This window comes from Homo sapiens, chromosome 3, assembly GCF_000001405.40.
Source record: "Homo sapiens chromosome 3, GRCh38.p14 Primary Assembly".
In the NCBI taxonomy this organism is placed as follows: domain Eukaryota; kingdom Metazoa; phylum Chordata; class Mammalia; order Primates; family Hominidae; genus Homo; species Homo sapiens.
In genome coordinates, this window is record NC_000003.12 from 183761004 (window position 1) to 183787110 (window position 26107).

Below are 26107 nucleotides of genomic sequence, written 5' to 3' on the forward strand. Positions count from 1 at the left end.
TACAGCTTTTCTTTGCATTTGTTTTCTAAAACAATATTAAAATGCAGGTGTAGAGGCTTGGAAGACCCCAAGGAATTTTAGGTTTTTTTCTTTCTTTTTTTTTTACGGAGTTTTGCTCTTGTCACCCAGGCTGGAGTGCAGTGGCGTGATCTCGGCTCACCACAACCTCTGCCTCCCTGGTTCAAGTGATTCTACTGCCTCAGCCTCCCAAGTAGCTGGGATTACAGGCACCCGCCACCACACCCGGCTAATTTTGTATATTTAGTAGAGACAGGGTTTCTCCGTGTTGGTCAGGCTGGTCTTGATCTCCCGACCTCAGGCGATCCACCCACCTCTGCCTCCCAAAGTGCTGGGAGTACAGGCGTGAGCTACCGCACCCAGCCAGTCTTTTTATTTCTTTATATTGCTAGAGAATGTCACAGGTTTGTATTAAATATAAGTGACTAGATATCTGAAATCACCCATTTCTCCTGATTGTAAAATATGTATTTTTACACACACAGCAGGAGGATTCTTTGTTTGCATCTATGCCACCTCTTTGCCCAATTGGGAGTCACCCTAAGGTTCAAAGCCCCAAACCTATAACAGGAGGACTTGGAGCTTTCACAAAAGTGAGTATGTATTAGGGCATTGTCCCACAAGTCATAATACTTTTTGTGGCATGTTGGAGTTCATTGCCACTACCCCTACAACATGTTACTTTTTAGTGGGTCTCAACTCCTCATTCTGAGACGTGCTTCCATGTATTTAATGATGTCCTCAGGGCAGCCCTTGGAGTCCAGCAAGATGGGGATTCATGGAGCACAGTGTGTTTGTTTCTCTCTGCTGTCATTTGCCACAGTCTCTAAAACAAGTGACTGTGTTATTACAGGAGCACAGGATCAAGTTCAGATCCTACTTTTGGTCCCTTTAATAGCTGGTATGGACTGTATTTAAGCAGTATGTATATTTACCCTTCTGGTGGAGTCATTCTTTACGTATCAAGTTTCATCAATTCATTAATCCCTGCAAACGGAGAAGAGTCAGATATTAGCAGCTTTATAAAATGGGATGTTTATGGATGTTTATTCAGTGTCATTATGTTTGTTGCAAGGTGATCATCAAACAGGAACCTGGTGAAGCCCCTCACGTGCCCGCAACAGGAGCTGCCAGCCAGTCACCACTCCCGCAGTATGTGACTGTGAAAGGGGGTCACATGATAGCTGTGTCCCCTCAAAAACAGGTCATAACTCCTGGAGAAGGGATTGCCCAGTCAGCAAAGGTTCAGCCCTCCAAGGTTTGTGTTGGGTAGAGATGGGAAATTTCACATGTAAATGATGTTGTTTGCCTAAATAATTGACAAGTGCTGAAAAGATTCACGGTGACAGGGTTGATGATCCCATAAGAACCTGTGGGTGAAAGCCTAGTTGGAAAAACAAGTCTGTTGGTGTGAAACTCTTCTACTCCTGTAGTAATCATTGGCAAGAGCCGCGTTATGTATTGCAAAGGATCCCGGAATGGGCCAAGAGGCAGGGGAACACTGCTGTCTCTGGCAGTGGAGGCAGAGCTGACTCATGGGCACAGCTTTCTACTTGATTCATCTCTAAAAGGGATCCGCTGTTGACTTGTTTATTTATGGTAGGAGAATGCTGTAGTTTATACCTCTGATGTTCGGGCTGTTACCTGTTTAATGATTCTTAGCTTTCTGTAGAGTTCTTTTTTTTTTTTAATAATTTGGAGGTACAGGAGAATTAATGTATTGAGAGAATTTTAAAATAGCACATAGAGGCCGGGCATGGTGGCTCACGCCTGTGATCCCAGCACTTTAGGAGGCTGAGGCGGGCGGATTACCTGAAGGCAGGAGTTCGAGACCAGCCTGACCAACATGGAGAAACCCCATCTCTACTAAAAATACAATATTAGCGGGGTGTGGTGGCACATGCCTGTAATCCCAGCTACTCGGGAGACTGAGGCAGGAGAATTGCTTGAACCTGGGAGGCAGAGGTTGCGGTGAGCTGAGATCGCGGCACTGCACTCCAGCCTGGGTGACAGAGAGAGACTCTGTCTCAAAAAAATAAAAATTAAAAAATTAAAAAAAAAAATAGCACATAGAGCCATGTTTTCCTGAATCAATTGGAAATGTAGCCATGCATCACCTGATGATGGTACATTCTGAGACGTGTCATTAGGTGATTTTGTTGTGTGAACATCGCAGTGTACTTAAATCCAGATAGAATAGCTAACTACACACTTAGGCTGTATGGTGTGGCCTATTGCTCCTAGGCTGTAAACCTGTTCCGCATGTTACTATTGAATACTATAGGAAGTTGTAATAGAACAATAAGTATTTGTGGATCTCAACATATCTAAATATAGAAAAGATACTGTAAAAATACAGTGTTATAATCTTATGGGACCACTGTTAATATATGCAGTCTGTCATTGACTAAAACATCGTTAATGTGGTAGATGACTATGGTATCAATATTGAGTGCTTTTGTGTATGCCATGCTTGTATTTCTACATTTTCTATAATCCACACACAACCCTGGAGGGTGGGGATTTTCATCCCTGTTTTACAAATGAGGAAACTGTGGCTCAGAGGTTAAACAGTTTCCTTGGGAGCATTACAGCTAATAAATGACAAAGTGTTTAAAGTCAGGCCTGCTAACTCCAAGCTCCCCATTTCAGAACTAATGAAAAGTGGTTGTCTCTAACCTTGGTATGCTTTCAGAGCATCAGGGTTAAATTACCTCAACTTTTGGCAGGTATACTCTAAAGCTATTAAGTATATAATATGGGCTCGGCATGGTGGCTCACACCTGTGAGCCACCTAACACTTTGGCAGTCCAAGGCGGACAGATCACTTCAGGTCAGGAGTTTGAGACCAGCCTGTCCGACGTGGTGAAACCCCATCTCTACTAAAAATACAAAAACCGAGCGTGGTGGGTGGCATGCACCTGTAATCCCAGCTACTTGGGAGGCTGAGGCAGGAGAATCACTTGAACCCAGGAGGCGGAGGTTGCAGTGAGCCAAGACTGTGCCACTGCATTTCAGCCTGGGTGACAGAGGGAGACTGTCTCAAAAACAAAAAAACAAAAAACAATGGCTGGGCACGGTGGCTCACGCCCGTAATCCCAGCACTTTGAGAGGCTGAGGCGTGCGTTATCACCTGAGGTCAGATGTTGAAGACCAGCCTGGTCAACTTGGTGAAACTGTCTCTACCAAAAATACAAGAATTAGGTGGACATGGTGTCGGGCTCCTGTAATCTCAACTAGTCAGGAGGCTGAGGCAGGAGAATGGCTTGAACACAGGAGGTGGAAGTTGCAGTGAGCTGAGATCGCACCATTGCACTCCAGCCTGGGCAACGAGTGAAACTCTGTTTAAAAAAAAAAAAAAAAAAAAAAAAGATATCATATAGATGTTTTTCAGCTTGAAACCCAGCCTACCTATCTAAGGAGAATGAATTGTTTTAAGAATAGCCCAAAATCGAAAAAGATTTTAGCTATCAGATAGAGATTAGGATCAACTTAAAAATTCATAGAGCTTGTCGCAGTGGCTCACGCCTATAATTCCAGCACTTTGGGAGGTCAAGGCGGGTGGATCGCCTGAGGTCAGGAGTTCGAGATCAGGCCAACATAGTGAAACCCCGTCTATACTAAAAATACAAAAAATTATTTGGGCGTGGTGGCGGGCGCCTGTAATCCCAGCTACTCGGGAGGCTGAGGCAGGAGAAACGCTTGACCCCGGCAGGCAGAGGTTGCAGTGAGACGAGATCTTGCTATTGCACTCCAGCCTGGGCAACAAGAGCAAAACTCCATCTCAAAAAAATAAAATAAAATTCGTGGTGTTATCGGTGGTTCTAAAATCTGTTAAGTTTATTAACGACTTTCTCAGACTTACCTGGTTATAAGAATCATCTGCTGATAGCTACCTAGGCCACCATCTCAAACTTACTGCATCGGATTCTTCTTGAGATCCCTGGGAATCTGGGTTTTTAATAAGTGTTTCTGCTGATTCATCTACTTAGGCAGCAGATTTAGGAATCATGGTGCTACAGCATCTCATTTGACTTTGAGGCATTCGTAGCCAGAATGACTAAGACAGGCATCCCCAACTGCTTACTAGTGCTCCCACTGTGGTTCTGGCTTCAGGGGTAAGAATTCTGCCAAAATCCCTTAGTAAATCAGTTATTGTCATCTGAACTTCCTACTCAGGCTTGTCGTATATGTACCTCAAAATCTGTTTTGCTTCACATAGGGATATGTGGCTTTACTGATTTCTGCTTTGAATCAACTTAGCATTGCTGTTTATGTTAGAAGCTCTTGGATAAGTTCGTTTCCATTTTTTGCCGCTTTGCATATTGCCAATCCACTCCTCCAGTGATGCTGAACAACTGTACTGACTTGTCACATGGCCACCTACTTAATGGTAAATGTAAGGTTGGAGGAGATAGGTGGGTCTGTGCCACAATGCCCTAAATATGGTTTAAGGGCATCTGAAAAGAAAAACCACAGCAAAGTGTGAAGGAACTGCAGAGAAGCAGTAGTGCGTGAGATGATACCACTGTTTACCCAGGAAATGGAATCCATGATTAGCAGTTGAGATAAGGAGCTGTCTGTGAGTACAGACTGTTCCTGGTTATTGCTGAAGTGCATTCCTAGAAACTATGCCAGAGAACAGGCTGGGTGTGTGGTTCATGCTTGTAATTCCAGCACTTTAGGAGGCTGAGGTGGGCAGATCACCTGAGGTCAGGAGTTCGAGACCAGCCTGGCCAACATGGTGAAACCCTGTCTCTACTAAAAATACAAAAATTAGCCAGACATGGTGGTGTGCACCTGTAATCCCAGCTACTTGGGAGGCTGAGGCAGGAGAATTGTTTGAACCTGGGAGGTCAAGGTTGCAGTGAACTGAGATGACGCCACTGTACTCCAGCCTGGGAGATAGAGCAAGACTCTGTCTAAAAAAAAAAAAAAAGATATGCCAGGAAACAGGAGGGTGGCAAAAAATGGCACTGTTTTACCCTCCATACAACTTTGGGACAACAGAAACACAGCTGATCTTTTTCCTCAAAGTGGGAAGAGGTGCTGCCTTTGACATGAAAAGGGACAACTGAGGAATAAGTAGTTCCATATGGGAAGGAAGCAGTGTGTTAAAGTAGAAGGAGCATGAGCTTTGCAGTTAGAGCTTGTTGCAAATCTCAGATCTCAGCCACTCATTACTGGTGTAACCTGTGCAGGTTCTGAGCCCTGGTCTTTCAGGGTTGTAGAAGAATTAGAGATTGTATATGAAGGACCTACCTAGCACAGAGCAAGTGCTCAGTAAATAGTAACTAATGTGAGTATCAGGCATATCCATGCCTAAGTACCATTGTAATGGTTATCAGTGAGCACTTAACTTGTAAACAGCCATATTTTTTAATATCTGGAGGGAAAATCTCAGATACAGACTCTTCCCCTTCAGTTTGCTGAAGTAAATTCTGACTTGCCACAGGTATGTGTAGGAAACAGGGAGGGCAGAAATAGAAACATTTAATCAAAGCATGAATCGAAGTTAAGTGTATAACAAATACAAAACAATGGGTGTCTGCTTTCTCAAGCTAGCAGGAAATTAGCAACAGAGAGAGAATTATTGAATGGGAAGAGAATGAGGAAAGTCAGTAGGTGAGTTCAGGCTCTAGGCCGAAATACGTTGTGGTTTTTTGGTGGTTGTTGCTCTTGTGGGTTTTTTTGTTTTGTTTTGTTTTATGATCATAACTCACTGTAGTCTCAGCCTCCCTGGGCTCCAGCAATCCCACCTCAGTCTCCCAGGACTACAGGTGATACCACCACACCCAATTAGGTTTTTTGTTTTGTTTTGTTTTCTGTATTTTGTAGAGACTGGTTTTCACTATGTTGCCCAGGCTGGTCTTGAACTCCTGGGCTCAAGCAGTCTGCCTGCCTCAGCCTCCCAAAGTGTTGGGGTTATAAGCATGAGCCACTGTGCCTGGCCAAAGTATGTTGTTTTAAAAAAATAACAAACTAATTTTGGGTAATACAGTCTTATTTAAGAGGTCTTACACCTTCTTAGTGGTGTCCATAATCAGCTGCAGAGTTTTTCCCAACAGAATGCAGATTTCCTCATTCTCCTGTTTTCCAGAAGGAAGGTAGGGAGGTAGTGACAGTCATCTCCCAGGCGGTGTGCACAAGGTGGGTAAGCTCTGCTGGTAAAGACTGCCCTCCAGTGGCTGACTTGGGATACCAGGTTTTTGTTTCTGTTTTGAGACAGCGTCTAGCTCCGTTGCCCAGGCTGGAGTGCAGTGGTGCAGTCTTGACTCACTGCAACCTCTGTCTCCTGGGCTCAAGCTATACTCCTACTTCAGCCTTAGCTGGGATCGCAGGCCCACACCACCACGCCCAGCTAATTTTTTTTTTTTGAGCTGGAGTCTTGCACTGTCGCCCAGGCTGGAGAGCAGTGGCGCCATCTCGGCTCACTACAACCTCCGCCTCTTGGGTTCAAGTGATTCTCTTGACTCAGCCTCCCAAGTAGCTGGGATTACAGGCACCCACCACCATGCCTAGCTAATTTTTTTGTATTTTTAGTAGAGACAGGGTTTCACTATGTTGGCCACACTGGTCTCAAACTTCTGACCTTGTGATCTGCCCGCCTTGGCCTCCTGAAGTGCTAGGATTACAGGTGTGAGCCATTGTGCCCGGCCATTTTTTTTATTTTTTAATAGAGACGGGGTTTTACCATGTTCATCACGCTGGTCTCAAACTCCTGACCTCTAATGATCCGCCCACCTCGGCCTCCCAAAGTGCTGGGATTACAGGCATGAGCCACCACGCCCGGCAGGATACCAGGTTTTACTGGGTTCTTGGAGAAATTACGTGTCATATCCTGAAAACTCTGAAGCACTTGGCACAAGAAAGGAAAAGCAAGTCAGGTGCATGTAATGTGGGGAAAGAAATTGAAGTAGGTCTAAAAATGTGTGTATTGTTTTCCCTAAGTTATTTGCTTTCTTTGTTTAGGAACATAAAAGTAGATTCTGTGTAATTTAACTTGTGAAATAGGTTATTTGATATGTTTGGGAGGTTTGAAGACTGCTATCTTAGTTAAGAGAAAAGTTCAACTACTGCAACAGAGAAATCTGAACACCAGAACTTTAAGTAAGTTTATTTCTCATACAGTCATCGAGAATCTAGATCCCTGGCTTTCCTTTTTTTGCTCTGACATTCTCAAAATTTGGCTTTCGGCTTGTGGACTAAGAAAACACTTCATCTCATACCTCCACGTTCACGCTTCTTGCCAAGAGGAAGGGAGCAGGGGGAGGGAGAGCTGAGGGCAGACAGAGCCCGAAAGTCGCTCTCACTTCTGCACACATCCCGTTAGCCAGAAAGCAAATGGCCACGCCTAGGTCTGGGAGGGCTGGGAAATAGAGTTGTGATTCCATGTGGCCATTGCCCCAGCTGAAAACTGGGGGCTCTGTTACTATGAGAGGAGAAGGAAATAATAGATATTGGGGTTCAACTAGCAGTTTCTGCCACACTCCCAAAAAGTTTTGCTACATTAAGAAGGGTTTTTTTTTTCTTTCATAAATATACAGAAAAGTTCTTGATCAGTAAGAAGGGTTTCCGTATTTCCACATCACTGGGAGGATGACCCTGCCCTGCTCTGTGGCTACAGAAACTCTACAGGTCCCCTGCAGAATGAAGTTCATGCAGTTAGAACACAGATGAAGGCCAGGTGCCTGTAATCTCAGCACTTTGGGAGGCCGAGACAGGTAGATCGCCTGAGGTCGGGAGTTCAAGATCAGCCTGACCAGCATGGAGAAACCCCGTCTCTACTAAAAATACAAAATTAGCCAGGTGTGGTGGCGTGTGCCCATAATCCCAGCTACTCAGGAGGCAAAGGCAGGAGAATTGCTTGAACCCAGGAGGCGGAGGTTGCGGTGAGCTGAGATCGTGCCACCGCACTCCAGCCTGGGCAACAAGAGCAAAACTCCGTCTCAAAAAACAACAACAAAACAGAGATGTAGATGTGGGTAATAAGGGGTATTTCAACCAAACCAGGAGAGCCGGGGGTGATTTCTTGTCTTCATTCTAGGTTAACTTGCTTTTTAAAATTGGTTCTTTTATTCTGTTTCTTCTTTTCTTCTCTCCTTAAACATACAGAAAAGTAGGGAGAAGAGTGTGATGAATCCCACATGCCTATTACCCAGTTTTAACAATTACCAGCATTTTACTCATCTTAATTTATCTCCCTGGAATATTTTAAAGTAGCAGGCGGATCCCCATGTTGTATAATTCACTCAAGATTAATTTGTTTCACCTGCTGAATCCAGAGGTTAAGATCAAGGTCTCTGCCTTGGCCGAATGCGGAAGACAGCCACAAATGTCTGTCCTTTGGCTGTCCTTTGCTGGTCTCCACATCCCCTTGTGGATTATTATTCTTCAGTTGAAGTGTTGTGATGAGCAGCAACAGCTGTCATGTTAGCTAGGCATCCTATATACTTTTTCTCATTTTGCTTCATGATTCGGAGGGTAAATGTTACCCATATTTTATAGATGAGGGGATTGATGGTAAAACTCAAGAGAGGTTAAATAACTTACCTAGCTACTAACTAAAAATAACTAACCTGGAAAACCAGATCTGTCTGCTTACCGAAACCTGCACTGTTTCCTCTTTGTGACGCTATAGTTTATAATATTTGATTAAGGGACTGTTTTCATTTTATTTATTTATTGTTTAGACAGAGTCTTGCTCTGTCGCCAGGCTAGAGTGCAGTGGCACGATCTCAGCTCACTGCAACCTCCGACTCCCAGGTTCAAGCGATTCTGCTGCCTCAGCCTCCCGAGTAGCTGGGGTGCCCACCACCACGCCCAGCTCATTCCTTGTAATTTTAGTAGAGATGAGGTTTCACCATGTTGGCCAGGACAGTCTCAATCTCTTGACCTTGTGATCCGCCCGCCTCAGCCTCCTAAAGTGCTGGGATTACAGGCGCGAGCCACCATACCCAGCCAAGGGACTGTTTTCTTTATATCAGCTATATTATCCAACTGCATGGTAAATGTATTTTACTGAACTCACAGTCTTTGAACAGAAACCGTGTATGGTATAGTAATATTTTAATTTAAAACTTCTGGCCGGGTGCGGTGGCTCACACCTGTAATCCCAGCACTTTGGGAGGCCGAGGCGGGCGGATCACGAGGTCAGGAGATCAAGACCGTCCTGGCTAACACGGTGAAACCCCGTTTCTACTAAAAATACAAAAAATTAGCTGGGCGTGGTGGCGCCTGTAGTCCCAGCTACTCGGGAGACTGAGGCAGGAGAATGGCATGAACCCGTGAGGCGGAGGTTGCAGTGAGCCGAGATTGCGCCACTTCCTGGGTGACAGAGCGAGACTCCGTCTCAAAAAAAAACAAAAAACAAAAAAACAAAAATTTCCTACTTATCAGTTGAATATGCTTTATCATTTCATTCTACCTTCTAAATAATCTTATTTTAAAATTTAGAAATACTCTAAAATTCCAGTAACATATGTAGAGAATTAAGTAATCAATACCCCCATATCCTCCACCCCAAATTTACTTATTCATGTTTACTTCAGATCTTTTTTCTCCAAATAAAACATTTCTGATAAAGTTGAAGTCCACTTTGTTCTTCCCAGAGGCAACAAGCACTGTCATGGCTTTGATGTGTAGCCTTCCACTCCATGCGCTTATTACATGAATACATAGTCATAGGAAACGTGATGTTGTTTGTGTTTTGAAGGTTTACGTAAAAGATATTCCTACTTACATTTTTCTGCAACTCCCTTTTCGCTTTCTTATTTTTCCAGTCTGTTTACACTAATATATCACTAATATATATAATTCTAGTTCATTTATTTTTAGTATGACCTTTCGTTGTCTGTTTTATGCCACAGTTTGTCCATTCCTCTATCTGTAGACGTTAAGAATGTTGTTGCATGCTGCAGACATTAAGGTTGCTAACAGTTTTTGGTAAAAATAATGCTATGTTGGGCATTGTTGTATATGTTCCCTTGAACGCATGTATGTTTCTCTAGGATATATTCCTAAAAACAATTCCTACTATACGGGGGTATGTGAATTTTCAGTTTTAGCAGATGGGCCAGTGCCTCTCTGGAATGGCTGTCCAAATTTATCTTCCTACCAACAGTGAGCACAAATTCCTATTTTCCCCACAGCCTCTAGTAACTTCTTGGTTTTAAACTCTTTTTCCCCCAATCTGATGGGTGAACAGCACTTCCTATTTTGTCTTTTTTGCCTTAAGAAGGTAGATCATTTGCATTTCTTCCAACCTTGTGGAAGTCTGTTCATCTAGTTTCTGGTGAGAAGTTCTTTTTATGAAATAAGGTGCTGGGAGTGGGAAACACTGCTCCAGTTTGCCATTCATTCAGTGTTTAATTTAACATCCTACTGTTGACTTTGTTTTAAAAACACTCCTGAGTATTTTCTTAAAAGAATTCATTTTACTTTTGGAACTAGATACTTCTAATTTTCATTATTTGGGTACTGGGGTCTTTTTTTTTTTTAATAGTTAAATATTATTCTTGCCTTTTTTTTTTTTTTTTTTTTTTCTTTTCTTAGGGTCTTGCTCTGTCACCCAGGCTGGAGGGCAGTGGTGTGATCACGGCTCAGTGCAGCCTTGAACTCCTAGGCTCAAGGGATCCTCCCCTGCCTCAGCCTCCTGAATAGCTGGGACTACAGATGTGTGCCACTGTACTGGCTAATTTTTTTTTTTTTTTTTTTTTTTTTTTAGACAGAGTCTCACTCTGTCACCCAGGCTGGAGTGCAGTGGCATGATCTTGGCTCACTGCAACCTCCACATCCTAGGTTCAGGGGATTCTCCTACCTCAGCCTCCAGAGTAGCTGGGACTACAGGTGTGTGCCACCATGCCCAGCTAATTTTTGTATTTTTAGTAGAGATTGGATTTCACCATGTTGGCCAGGCTGGTCTCGAACTCCTGACCACAAATGCTCCTCCTGCCTTGGCCTCCCAAAGTGCTGGGATTACAGGCATGAGCCACCACGCCCGGCCAAACTTTTTTCTTTATACTTCTGAATTTCCCAAATTTTCTATTAAAGTAAATTATAAAAAGTAGCTGAGGCAAGACAACAATTGTTAAGCTTCTATTATTGTAATACCCAAGTGTAAGAAATACAGTTGCCGTTCACACCTGTGTAGGTAGCTTTCCTAGATGACTGAATTAGGCTGCATGTATTATGTGCAGGCCTTTGTTTTGCTCTCTGCCAAAACGGTGACTGCTGTTCTAAGAGCTCTCGAAGCACCGTTGGACTCTGCTCTGTTTTGAACAGGTTGTCGGGGTACCAGTTGGGTCTGCTTTACCTTCAACAGTGAAGCAGGCTGTGGCGATCAGTGGTGGCCAGATCCTGGTAGCCAAGGCCAGCTCTTCTGTCTCCAAAGCAGTTGGGCCAAAGCAAGTTGTAACCCAAGGAGTTGCCAAAGCAATTGTGAGTGGAGGTGGAGGAACCATTGTTGCTCAGCCAGTGCAGACCTTAACCAAGGCCCAGGTTACTGCCGCTGGTCCTCAGAAGAGTGGATCCCAGGGTTCAGGTAAAACGGATCATCACTGGGAGCCCTTTCAGCAGAAGCTCTGTCCAAAATTTCCTTTGCTAGTGATTTTATTTGCTATTTGATCTGGTCTAGGAAAGCCTAGTTAGGTTGATGCTGTAAGAAGTGTATTGAAATGTTTGTTCTTTTTTATGGGACATTTTACATAAAGGTCTGTGAGTATTTAGCTTTAAATTTACACACACACACACACACACCCACATACACACACACACACGAACAAATCATTTCTCAGTACTGTGGGGGATTGGTTCCAGGACCCCCTGCTGCAGATAGCAAAATCCACAGATGCTAATCCACAGTCCCCTGTGTAAAATGCTGTACTGTTTACGTATAACCTATGTACATCCTCTGATGTACTTTACTTTATATCATCTCTAGGTTATCTTAATACCTAATAACAATGTAAATAACAATGTAATAACAATGTATATGCTATGTAAATAGTTGTTACACTGTGTTGTTTAAGGAATAATGACAAGAAAAAAGTCTGTACATGTTCAGTACAGATGTACTCATCCTTTTGTCTGCCAAATATATGGATATTTTTTATCTGAGGTAGGTTACATCCATGGATGTGAAATCCACAGATACAGAGGGCCAATGGTACTTGCCAGTTAGGAGCACACATTTGCCCTAACTTTGACTTTAAACAAATGGGGGAAAATATGTAATCCTCCATAGACAGGGTGATTATTTCATTAATCGTCCAAACCACAGTACTTTGGAGAGTAAAAAGAGTCATTATTAATAATTATAGTGGGACAGGTGTAACCTAGAACTGTTCTGGGCAGAACCAGGACGTACGATCATCCTATTATATACAGATATAAAGAGCCTCTGGCAGGCTCTTCTGGTCTATAAATTATTTTTTAATTAGCAAGATATTTAAGAATATCAGTCTTTAAAGCATTGTGCATCTGGGAAACAAACTTTGAATTTATTGCTTGTTAGTGTTCTAAAATAAGAATTTATTGCCTTGTATTTTAATTTTAGAGTGTTGCCCTTAGTTTCAATTTATCTTACAATTTTTTCTCCTTTACCATTTTAGTAATGGCAACGTTGCAGCTACCAGCCACTAATTTGGCCAACTTGGCAAATTTGCCTCCTGGCACTAAACTCTACCTAACTACAAACAGCAAGAACCCTTCAGGAAAAGGAAAACTGCTGCTGATCCCTCAAGGAGCCATCCTGCGAGCTACGAACAATGCTAGTTAGTGAAACCATTGGGTTGAATCATTTGGTTCTTGGTTCTCTATGTGTGTTCATCTTGTCCATCTGAGGGCAGTTCTTACCTGTTTCAGGAAGCATTTCTGTAACTCTGTTGGGTGGTGTAATGGTAGCATTTGCTCAGATGGATTTAACACATACGATAATTTAACTAGAAGTGGGTTTGCTCCTCAGCGTTTGCAATCAGAGATGAATCACTCTGGAGAGAGATGGCTGGTGAGGCTGTTGGGAGAAAGCTGTCTACATGAACCATGAATGAAGTGGTGTCTGAAAATTATCTGGTGATACCTGAGGGAAGATCCATCTACTTATAGAAGCTGGAAGTCTGTTTTTGGGGATAGGTTGGCATAGGATTGGAATCGAGTGTGTCTGTTTGACTTCATTTAGATCAGGGGTCCCCAACCCCTGGGCCGCACAGCAGAAGTTGAGCATGGACGAAGAAGCATTACTGCCTGAGCTCCGCCTCCTGTCAGATCAGCAGTGGCATCAGATTCTCACAGGAGCGCGAACCCTGTTGAGAACTGTGCATGCGAGGGATCTAGGTTGTGTGCTCCTTATGAGAATCTAATGCCTGATGATCTGAGGTGGAACAATTTCTTCCCCAAACCACCCCCCGCCTCCTGTCCCAATTCATGGAAAAGTTGTCTTCCATGAAACTGGTCCCTGGTGCCACAAAGCTTGGGGACAGCTGGTTTGGATGTATTCCTTACTTCTGCTAGGTTTGGAGATGGAAAGAGAAATACAGACTCTACCTAGGTTTGTAAGTCTTAAAGCCCCATGGAAATGAGGCAGTTTATCTGCAGTTAAAGAAACTTTTGCTTTGACATATAGAGAAAAACCGTTTGGGCAGTGTTGAAAAGGATAGGATAAAAGGAAATTATTTCCCTCTGAATCAGAAGTAGAAGGGTACAGCATTCAGGGTCATTGGAAGTTAACCGCCCTTGCCAAAATGCAGTGTGTCAGCTCATCATCCTTGCGTTCATTGACCATGATGTGTCAGTTCCACTCTCACTTGGTGTTTTTTCCTCATACCTAAGCAGTGGTATGTCCAAAAGTTAAATGTGTAAGAAAAGGACAATGTAAATATTTCAGAAGTCATCCAGGGAGCTACTTAGATTCTTGTGATATCCTTGGTGCAAAAATAAACCATTGGGAAGGAAGCTATTCCAATAATCACTGGAATGAAGGTGGAGAAGGAAATTGGAAGTTAGTATTTGTTGAGTGAATATTCATAGTCCAGGTAGTTCAAATGCATTATCTCACCAAAAGAGAAGTAAAAAGACTTCAAGGCTTTGAAGTGGGATTTGAAAGGCAAAGAAGAATGGGGTCCTGGAGTCATTGTAAATGAAGGAAAGTCTTCATTTTTCCTGAGACAGGGAGACAACATCGAGCACTGTAAAGTTACACTAAATTCCAGCAATTCCCTGACATTGAATCAGATGCCCAAAAGTTGGGAAGCACCTAGCTGAGCACATTTAAGTGTTGATTAAAATACTTGGCTAGAGGCTGGGTGCAGTGGCTCACACCTGCAATCCCAGCACTTTGGAGGGCCAAGGCGGGCGGATCATGAGGTCAGGAGATCGAGACCATCCTGTCCAACATGGTGAAACCCCCTCTCTACTAAAAATACAAAATTAGCTGGGCATGGTGGCACACGCCTGTAGTCCCAGCTCCTTGGGAGGCTGAGGCAGGAGAATCGCTTGAACCCGGGAGGCAGAGGTTGCAGTGAGCCAAGATCTTGCCATTGCACTCCAGCCTGGCGACAGAGTGAGACTCCGTCTCAAAAAAATACTTGGCTAGAAAATGTCAGTAGCAAGCCTTCTCTTGATCTCCCACGACCACGTCAAAGTATCTTCATTGTACTCAGAGCCGAAATACAGTCAGTTGTCATGCAGTTGAAAGGAAATAGATTTTGATCTAAAATCTAGGAAGTTCTCCTCACTCTTGTCACAGGGTAGGTAGATTACAGAAAAGACGGAGGAAAATGGGAAAGAAGAAGGAATGGCACTAAAAGGGAAACATCTCTCTGGGCTCATTTGTTTTTTATGCTAAAGCTTTGCTTGATACTTTTTATGATGTTGCTGTCATTCATTGTATTTTTAGATCTCCAGTCTGGCTCAGCTGCCAGTGGTGGGAGTGGTGCCGGAGGAGGAGGAGGAGGAGGAGGAGGAGGCGGCAGTGGCAGCGGTGGAGGCGGCAGCACAGGAGGAGGAGGAGGAACAGCAGGAGGAGGAACTCAAAGTACTGCTGGCCCTGGAGGGATATCTCAGCACCTGACTTACACATCTTACATCCTCAAGCAAACTCCCCAGGTCTGGTTCTCTGTAACTGATATTTTAAATCATTTAGCTATTGGATAACTATGCTTAATTATAATTGATTTACCTTTACGGCTCTGGGATCAGGGTTCAATACTAACACCTTAACCGTGTTATCTATATCTATATCTTGGCCGGGTGTGGTAACTCATGCCTGTAATCCTAGCACTTTGGGAGGCCAAGGTGGGTGGATCGCTTGAGCCCAGGAGTTCGAGACCAACCTGGGCAACATGGCAAAACCCTGTCTCTACTAAAAATACCAAAATTAGCTGGGCGTGGTGGTGCACGTCTACAGTCCCAGCTACTCCGAAGGTTGAGGTGGGAGGATTGCTTGAACCTGGGAGGTTGAGGCTGCAGTGAGCTGAGGTCGCACCACTGCACTCCACCCTGGCTGGGTGACAGAGTGAGACCCTTTCTCAAAAAAAAACTATGTGTTTTTATCTTTTTTGCTTGCTTTGAGAGAAGAGGAAGTAGAGATTGAGAAAGATTTTAGTAACTTATCCAGGATCTTCCTGCCAAGCCAATGGTAGAATTTGGGTTTAAGCCAGGCACGGTGGCTCACGCCTGTAATCCCAGCATTCTGGGAGGCCGAGGCAGGCAGATCACCTGAGGTCAGGAGTTCAAGACCAGCCTGGTCCATGGTGAAACCCTGTCTCTATTAAAAATACAAAAATCAGTCGGGTGTGGTGGTGCATGCCTGTAATCCCAGCTACTTGGAAGGCTGAGGCAGGAGAATCACTTGAACCCGGGAGGCAGAGGTTGCAGTGAGCCAAGATCACTCCATGGTACTCCAGCCTGGGGGAAAAGGGTGAGACTCTGTCTCAAAAAAAAAAAAAAAGGAAAAGAATTTGGGTTTAAACCCAGATCTTCCTGCCTTAAAGATTTCTACTATGCTAATTGCCTCCAAAATCCATGAGGTAATAAACAGTATTAATGTACAGTTGAAAAGTTGCTCATAGAAGGGAGTGATCAAAGAGATGGTATCAAGTTGTAATATTTAGAGTTAAGTTAGATTTGATTAGGAACAGGTTTCCTCCTCGTCTCCTCTTGTCACTGAAGTCTTGGCTCTTTTTGAAGGAAAGTAATAGAATTTTGGTTCCAGATGTTCTTATTGAGAAAGATGATATCAGTCTGAATGATTAAATCCAGTTTTGAGGACTAAGTTGCAAAACATGAGTTTTCAACAGGCTGCTCTGTAACTACAGTGCAAAGTTTGAGAAGTGGGGATAACTAATGGAAGTAACACTTAGAGCACAACTATTCTTTTGAATTATTTTGCCTACATTGCAGAATTAAAGGGGAGAGCGTTGTAGCTTGTAACATGGGACGTTACATGTGATTTAAGGGATCAGAACAGCCCATCTGAATTTAACAAATTACCGATTAGTTCTTTATATTTTTTTCTAACTTAGGGCACATTTTTAGTTGGCCAGCCATCACCCCAGACTTCTGGAAAACAACTCACCACTGGGTCAGTGGTCCAAGGAACACTGGGAGTCAGCACATCTTCTGCACAAGGACAACAAACGCTAAAAGTCATCTCTGGACAGAAAACCACATTGTTTACACAGGTAAATACGCCCATGCACACACCCCAAATATGGGGTGATTATGGCATTTATTTACATATTTACATGTAGTTTCTCTCTTTTCACAAAGAAATTAAGGTTACATAAGAAAATGAACAATAAGGCCAGGAGTGGTCGCTCACGTCTGTAATCCCAGCACTTTGGGAAGCCAAGGTGGGTGGATTGCCTGAGGTCAGGAGTTGGAGACCAGCCTGGCCAACATGGCCAACATAGTGAAACCCCGTCTCTACTAAAAATACAAAAATTAGCCAGGTGCAGTGGTGCGTGCCTATAGTCCCAGCTACTCGGGAGGCTAAGGCAGGAGAATCGCTTGGACCCGGGAGGCGGAGGTTGCAGTGAGCCGAGATCGTGCCATTGCACTCCATCCTGGGCGACAGAGCAAGATTCTGTCTCAAAAAAAAAAAAAAAAAGAAAAAAAAAGAAAAAATGAACAATAAAAAATATAGAAAAACAAAAATGAATCTTGAGGTTTGGGAAAATATAAGTAGAATGAGAAAATTAAGGACCCAGGTGTTATTCTCATATGCAAACACTTAAGATATCTTGCACAGTTAAAAAAATCAAGGTATAAATGTGATAGCAAAGACAAAATGAGAAGCATGGTCAGTTTTAAAGTCACACTATTTGTGAGAAAGAAAAAAACGCATATTTCTTTAGAAGAAACAAAGCTTTCTTGACACTTTGTTGTAAAATTTCTCCAGAGGGGCTTCACGTGGAAGATCCAGAATGGGCCAGTTTCAGCTATAGTATCCAGACAGTGAGTGAGTAGCTGGGATTACAGGCATGCACCACCATGCCCAGCTAATTTTGTGTTTTTAGTAGAGATGGGGTTTCTCCATGTTGGTCAGGCTGGTCTCCAGCTCGTGACCTCAGGTGATCTGCCCGCCTCGGCCTCCGAAAGTGCTGGGATTACAGGCGTGATCCGCTCCTGGCCTTGTTTAGAGTTTTTGCAAGTGATACTGGTCAGTAGTTTTCTTAGTAATTTCTGTCTGGTTTGGTATCAGGATAATACTGGCCTCATAAAATGAAGTGGAAGCTTTTCCTTTCTTTTCTCTTTATTGGAAGAGTTTATATAGAATTGGTACTGTTTCTTAACTGTTTAATTGAATATACCTGTAAAAGCCATATTAGCCTGGAGTTTTCCTAATTGAGAAGGTTTTTATATTACTGTTTTAAACTACAGTTTCAGTTTATTTACTAGATACGGGACTGTTCAGGTTGTTTATTTCTTTTCTTTTTATATATATTTTTTGAGACAGAGTCTTTATCTGTTGCCCAGGCTCCTGGGTTCAAGCAGTTCGCCTGCCTCATCCTCACGAGTAGCTGCGATTACAGGAGTCCACCACCACGCCCAGCTAATTTTTGTATTTTTAATAGAGACAGGGTTTCACCATGTTGGTCAGGCTGGTCTCGAACTCCTGACCTCGTGGTCTGCCCGCCTCGGCCTCCGAAAGTTCTGGGATTACAGGCACAAGCCACCACGCCCAGCCCGTTTTCATTCTTGCTTTTGGTAATTATGTGTCCTCTTTTTATTGATCAGTCTAGCTAGAGGTTTATCAGTTGTATTGATCTTTTCAAATTACCAGCATTTGGTGTCCTCTTTTGTTCTTTTTTGTCGAATGTCCTTACCCATGTTAAACAGATACAAGGCCCTGCAGTTCACTGTAGACAGTTCTTTTAAATCTTCCTTAGATTTCACACCTGCTTGTGTTGCAGCAGTGCACAGGTGAGACAGTTCCTGTTGCCCCTCCCTCCTTGCAGGGACTGGCTATCTTTAATCTTCAGGTTACTTGGCTACTTTGAGATTTCAGCCCTCCAATATGTTTCAAAAAAATAAGATTTTGTAGTGTATTCAGCCTTTTCTTGTTAGGGTAGGAGCAACCGTGCTTTATAGCCCTCTGTTTCCTATGTGGAAGCAAAAGTCCCTGACCAACGGATTTTAACTTGACAGAGAAAACTTTATTTTTATTTATTTATTTATTTTTTATATATTTTTTTGAGACACAGCCTTGCTCTGTCGCCAGGCTGGAGTGCAGTGGCACGATCTCGGCTCACTGCAGCCTCCGCCTCCTGGGTTCAAGCAATTCTCCTGCCTCAGCCTCCCGAGTAGCTGGGATTACAGGTGCCCGCCACCATGTCCAGCTAATTTTTGTATTTTTACTAGAGACGGGGTTTCACCACGTTGGTCAGGATGGTCTCGATCTCTTGACCTCGTGATCTGCCCGCCTCGGCCTCCCAATGAACTGAGATTACAGGCGTGAGCCACCGCACCTGGCCTTTACTTTTTTTTTTTTTTTTTTTAATTTTTTATCTTTCTGACTCAAGATCTAACAGAGAAAACTTTAAATTGCTGTGGTTTCAGATTGCATAATACAACTAAACTTGAAGAAACTTCCACTTGTTGAGCTTTAGTGTAGCATCAGAGAAGAGTAACAACAGTATTTGAAAGAGCTGTTAAAATACTCTTCCCTTTTCCAACTACATATGTGGATATATCTCACACCAACACAGCAAGCACCACAGGAAGGAGGAAGCGGGGGCGCAGGGCATGGAGAACACTGGAAACTGAATAGAACTGGCTGCTCTTGCCACAGTACCCAACACATCACCCTTCTGGTTGCCTCAAGCTTCTGCTATCTCCAGATGTGGAGCTTATCTAGCGTTTTTCCACGCTTCTGTGGCAGATTCTCCTGGCGTGTCCCACGTAAGGCTTTTATCACTTGGCGAGGCTTTCTTCTGCAGCCTTTTGTCTGTTTTTCGTAGTTGCTTGTCCACTATTGGGCTCCTCAACTAGTTTTTGAACACAACCAGTAGAATGCATTTATTTATTTATGCCTTTTCTGGTTTTTTTGGATTTGGCGCTGAGAGGAGTATTGCTGTCCACAATGAAGATAAAATGGCACAAATGTTTATGCAGTGAACTCTGGCAGCAAAATACATAAAGTGCAAAGACTATTAGGAATATGAGGAGAATTTGATAAAACTGCAGTCACAGAGAAGAATTTTAACATGTCTCTCAGCATTTAGCTAATCAAGTGGATAAATCTTTTTTATTATAAAGGATTTGTATTGGAATAACAGTACTAACAGGCTTAATTCTGTATCATTGAGACACAGAATACACATTTTGCTTGTATATCTGTGGAACATTAACAAATTGATTATATACTTGGCCACAAAGAGAATCTCTTAGCATATTTCAAAAGTAGCATCCAATGTGCTTCATTCTGTTACTCAATAAAAAAGTCAAATCAATAACAACCAAAAAACTTGACAATTAAAATACTCTTCTAAATTCTTGGGTTAAAAAAATCCAAATAAATTACGGATGATTTAGCTGTTAATACAAATGACAATTTTATTAGGGTTCTCCAGAGAAACAGAACAAATATAATATATATAGATATTAAGAGGAAATTTATTATGAGAATTGGCTCCTGTGATTATGGAGACCAAGGAGTCCCACGACATGCTGTTAGCAGGCTGGAGATCAGGAAAGCTAGTGGTGTGATTCAGTCTGACTACAAAGGCCTGCGAACTGGTGGGCATGGGAGTGAGGGGCACACTGGCATTAAGTCCTGGAGTCTGAAGGCCTGAGAACCAGGAGCTCTGATGTCTAAGGGTAGGAGAAGATTGATGTCTCAGCTTAAGAAGAGAGAGAGAATTCGCCCATTGTCCGCCTTTTTGTTCTATTCAGGTCCTTGACAGATTGGATGATGTCTGCCCACGTTGGCGAGGGCGGATCTTCTTTACTCTGTCTGCTAATCCAAATGCTGGTCTCTTGCAGAAATATTTTACCAGGTATCTGGGCATCCCTCAGCCCACTCAAGTTGACATAAAATTAACCATCACAACAGTACTTGATATTAAAACCTATGGAAACAACCCAAACCAGGCTCAAGAAAATTCAAAGCTTTAAATGCTTTTTCCTTTTAGCCCCACATCCTTAAAGATATAATAAAATAATGCATAGATCATAAGCGTAGATCTCCAGCCTGGCGACAGAACAAGACTCCGTCTCAAAAAAAAAGAAACTACCTGGGCCATGGTGGCACATGCCTGTGGTCCCAGCCATTCAGGAGGCTGAGGTGGGAGGATGGCTTGAGCCTTTGAAGTTGAGGCTACAGTGAGCCATGATGGTGCCACTGCTCTCCAGCCTGGGCGATAGAGCAACACCCTGTCTTAAAAAAAAAAAAATTTTTTTTTTCTATCACCATTTTTCTGTTTCTTTCACCATAGATTAGCTTTTGTCTTTCTTGAACTTCATGTCAGTGGAATTATATAGTATGTAGTCTTTTATGTCTGGCTTCTGTTATTCAACGTAATGTTTCCAAGATTTATCTATATGTGTGTTAATCGTTTATTCTTTTTTATTCTTGAGTTAATTTTTTAATTTTTTAATTTTTTTGAGACAGAGTTTCGCTCTTGTTGCCCAGGCTGGAGTGCAGTGGTGCGATCTTGGCTCACTGCAACCTCTGCCTCCCGGGTTCAAGCGATTCTCCTGCCTCAGCCTCCCGAGTAGCTGGGATTACAGGCATTCGCCACCAAGCCTGGCTAATTTTGTATTTTTAGTAGAGACGAGGTTTCTCTATGTTGGTCAGGCTGGTCTCGAACTCCTGACCTCAGGTGATCCACCCGCCTCAGCCTCCCAAAGTGCTAGGATTACGGACATGAGCCACCGCGCCTGGCCAATTCTTGAGTTTTTTAATTTTTTTATTTTTTGAGATGACGTCTCGCTCGTGTCCCCCAGGCTGGAGTACAATGGCGTGATCTCAGCTCACTACGACCTCTGTCTCCTGGGTTCAAGTGATTCTCCTGCCTCAGCCTCCCGAGTAGCTAGGATTACAGGCGCCTGCCACCATGCCCAGCTAATTTTTGTATTTTTCGTAGAGACAGGGTTTCACCATGTGGGCCAGGCTGGTCTCGAACTCCTTACCTCAGGTGATCTGCCTGCCTCGGCTTCCCAAAGTGCTGGGATTTCAGGCGTGAGCCACCGCACCCAGCCAGAGTGATTCTATTTTTGTTCCATGATTCCACTTTCCTGTTGATGGACATTTGGATTATTTCCAGGTTTTTTTGTTTGTTTTTGCTGTCATGGATAAAACTGCCATAAATATTCTTACACAGATATTTTTCTGCAGAACAGCCTGATCATAGGGTACATATATGTTTATAAGAAACTGAGAAATGGTTTAGTAAAATGGTTGTACTGTTTGACTATCCCAGAGTAATATGAGGAAGTCTGATTTGCTCTACATCCTCACCAACACGGAGGATTGTCATTCTTTTTAATTTTAGCCATTGTTGTGAGTGCAAAGTCATATCTCATTGTGGTCTTTATTTGCATAAAGCTCCAATGCAAATTATGCCATGGCTATTACTTGTGGAATCTAGTCATAACTTTTTCAGATAGTGCTAGCTGTGTGACCCTGGTAAATTAATCTCTTCATCTCTAAGACAGGACTAAAACCTACTCTATACAGTTAGTGAAAATAATGACTTACGATGACATAAGATATGTACAAGTGCTTTCTGTTCTTCCTGGCACATAGTAAGATCTCAGAAACTAATAAATGGTGTCTGCTTGTGGAGTGCATTAATTTGGGACACTGAGCAGTCACTTAGAGCAGATTTCAGCAAACTACAGCCAAGGCTTCCTGTTTGCGTTGTTGCTGCTGTTTTTTATAATTTAAACTTTTATTTTAGATTCAGGGGGTACATGTGCAGGTTTGTTACATGGGTATATTGCATGATGCTGAGGCTAGGGTCATGATTGATCTTGTCACCCAGGGAGTGAGCATCATACCCAATAGTTAGTTTTTTAACCCTTCCCTCCCTGCCCCATGTCATAGTCCTCAGTGTCTATTGTGGCCATCTTTGTGTCCATTTACCCAACGATTAGCTCCCACTTGTAAGTGAGAACATGTAGCCTTTGGTTTTCTGTCCTGCATTCATTCACTTAGGATAATGGCCTCCAGCTGCATCTGTGTTGCTTCAAAAGAAATGATTTCTTACCTTTTCATGGCTGTGTGGTATTTGATGGTGTATCCAGTCCACTGCTGAAGGGTACCTAGGTTGATTCCATGTCTTTGCTATTGTGAATAGTGCAGTGATGGACATAGGGGTGCATGTGTCTTTTTAGTAGAATGATTTATTTTCTTTTGGATATATACACATAGATTGCTGAGTCAGATGGTAGTTCCGTTTTAAGTTTTTTGTTTTGTTTTTGAGACAGGATCTCACAGTCACCCAGGCTGGAGTGCAGCACCCTCGACCTCCTGGGCTCAAGCAGTTCTCCCATCCCAACCTCCCAAGTAGTTAGGACTACAGTCCTGTGACACCATGGCCAGCTAACTTTTTATTTTTCTAGTGACAGGGTCAAGGTTGCCCAGGCTGGTCTTGAACTCCTGGGCTGAAGTGGCCTCCCAAAGTGCTGGGATCACAGGCATGAGCCACTGCACCCAACCTTTGTTTTCTGTTCTTTGAGAAATCTCCAAACTGCCTTCCACGGTGGCTGACCTAACTTACATTCCCACCCACAGTGTATAGGGCTTTCCTTTTTTCCACAGCCTATCTGGTGTGAGATGATATTGTGGTTTTGATTTGCATTTCTCTGGTGATTAGTGATACGGAGCATTTTTTCATGTTTGTTGGCTACTTGTATATCTTCTTTTGGAGAAATGTCTGTTCATGTCTTTTGCCCACTTTTTAATGGGGTTTATTTATAATGAGGTTTATTTATTTGCTTGTTAAATTAGGTTCCTTATAGATTCTGGATATTAGACCTTTGTCGGATGTATGGTTTATGAATCTTTTCTCCCATTCTGTAGGTTGTCTCTACTCTGTTGATAGTTTCTTTTGCTGTGCAGAAGCTTTTTAGTTTAATTAGGTCCCACTTGGTTTTCCTTTTTGTTGCAATTGTTGTTGATGCTTCCTGTTTTTTGTAAGTAACATTTTATTGGAACACAGCCACACTCGTTTCACGCTGTAATCGTAGAGCCGAGGAGTTGCAACAGAGGTCCTACGGCCTGAAAGCCAAAATTGCATACTCTTGCCATTAAAAAAAAAAAAAAAGCCGGGTGTGGTGGGTCACGCCTGTAATTCCAGCACTTTGGGAGGCTGAGACGGGCGGATCACCTGAGGTCAGGAGTTTGAGACCAGCCTGGCCAACATGGAGAAACCTTGTCTCTACTAAAAGTACAAAATTAGCCAGGCATGGTGGCGCATACCTGTAATCGCAGCTACTCGGGAGGCTGAGGCAGGAGAATCGCTTGAACCCAGGAGGCAGAGGTTGCAGTGAGCCAAGATCGCACCACTGCACTCCAGTCTGAGCAAAAGAGCAAAACTCTGTCTCAAAAAAAAAAGTTTGTTGAGCCTTTATTTAGACTACTGAGACTGTCATTTATAATTTGTATCCAGCCTGGGCAACATAATGGTGACCCTGTCTCTGAAAAACATTTTCTGGTTTTAAATTAACCAGGTGTTTGGCCGGGTGCGGTGGCTTCACGCCAGTAATCCCAGCATTTTGGGAGGCTGAGGTGGGCAGATCACGAGGTCACGAGAGATCGAGACCATCCTGGCCAACATGGTGAAACCCCATCTCTACTAAAAATACAAAAATTAGTTGGGCGTGGTGGCACGTGCCTGTAAGTCCTAGCTACTCGGGAGGCTGAGGCAGGAGAATCACTTGAACCCGGGAGGCGGAGGTTGCAGTAAGCCAAGATTGCGCCACTGCACTCCAGCCTGGGCGACAGAGCGAGACTCTGTCTCAAAAAAAAAAAAAAAAAAAAATCAACCAGATGTGGCACATGCCTGTAATCCCAGCTACTCGAAAGGCTGGGGCAGGAGGATCACTTGAGCCCAGGAGTTCGAGGCTGCAGTGAGCTATGATTGTGCCATTACACTCCAGCCTAGGTGACAGAGCAAGACCCTGTCTCTAAAAAAATAAAATAAAATAAAAAATATGTAATTTGTAAATGGTTCTCCAGTACTAAAATGCTAAGCCTATATCTAATTTAGAAGACCATTAACCTTACCCATTTAAATCTGGCCCTGTCTAGGGTTGATTCTCATGTTTAAAGATTATACGTACATTTAAGAGCATGTTGTAATCAAGTATTTTGAAAACAAGTGACCTGTTACCTTTAAAGATACTGCTGCCAAATAGTAACTTGCAAATGCATTTATTTACTTGTTCTATATTGGGGTAAAGGGATATTTATAGGTGAAAGGTCATAAAATTTGGAGCTTGTTAGAAAGGTGTGTAAACACCTCATGTAGGTTGGATTGGTAAGACTTTCTTGGTTATTCTCCAAGTCATGGGGCGTATCTCAGCTGTCAGTAAGGAATGAGTTATGTCTATTATCCAAGGCAACATGATTATTTCTGCCCATCTTGTTTCTGCAGGCAGCCCATGGAGGACAGGCATCTCTAATGAAAATATCCGATAGCACCTTGAAGACTGTGCCAGCCACCTCACAGCTCTCGAAGCCTGGAACCACAATGCTGAGAGTAGCAGGAGGGGTTATCACAACTGCCACTTCCCCTGCCGTGGCCCTCTCAGCAAACGGTCCTGCACAACAGGTGAGAAATAGCATGTCAGTAGAGAATCCTAATGAGACATGAAAGTGGTGTAGATACAAGGAAGGTGTCCAGCAGGCACACCAGTGGACCTTTTAAAAATACTCAACTATTGCTTTTTTTTTTAAAGAAATATTCACATACCATAAAAGTCCCCATTTTGTAGTATATAGTTCAGTAGTGCTTGTCATTCACATGGTTGTGCAACTGTGATTACCATCATCTAATCCCAGAGCATTTTATCATCCCAGAAAGAAGCCCAATACCCATCAGCAGTCACTCCCATTCCATCCTTCTGTTCTAGGCGACCGCTGACCTACTTTCTTTGGATTTGCCTATTTTAGACATTTCATATAAAGGGAGTCATATAACATGCCCTTTTGGGTCTGCTTCTGATGCTTAGCATTACAGTGCAGAGTTCATCCACGTTGTGACTTGCATCAATACTCCTTTTCATGGCTGGATAATACTCAGTTTGATGGATGTACCATATTTTGTTTATCCATTCATCAGTTGATGGGCACTTGGATTATTTTCTACTTTTTGACTGTTGTGAATAATGCTGCAGTGAATATTTGTGTACAGGTTTTTGTATAAACACGTTTTTATTTCTCTTGGCTGTATACCTAGTGATGGAATTGCTGGATTATAAGGTAACTTTTTTTGTTGTTTTTTGAGATGGAGTCTTGCTGTGTCACCAGGCTGGAGTGCAGTGACGAGATCTCGGCTCACTGGAACCTCCATCTCCCGGGTTCAAGCGATTCCCCTGCCTCAGCCTCCCAAGTAGCTGGGACTACAGGCACGCACCACCA

At 43.1% G+C, this 26107-nt stretch overlaps 1 protein-coding gene across 23 annotated transcripts in view; it reads left to right on the forward strand.

Moving 5' to 3' along the window:
- The window catches only part of YEATS2 (YEATS domain containing 2), a 114828-nt gene that overhangs the window by 63207 nt on the left and 25514 nt on the right, over positions 1-26107 (forward strand). For all 23 annotated transcript variants that reach the window (XM_047448527.1, XM_047448528.1, NM_001351370.2 and 20 more), the window contains 7 exons: positions 504-611; positions 1094-1276; positions 11302-11560; positions 12630-12791; positions 14912-15120; positions 16539-16697; positions 25122-25298. In XM_047448527.1, coding sequence (XP_047304483.1) covers positions 504-611; positions 1094-1276; positions 11302-11560; positions 12630-12791; positions 14912-15120; positions 16539-16697; positions 25122-25298 — 1257 coding nt within the window. The remainder of the gene's footprint in view (positions 1-503; positions 612-1093; positions 1277-11301; positions 11561-12629; positions 12792-14911; positions 15121-16538; positions 16698-25121; positions 25299-26107) is intronic.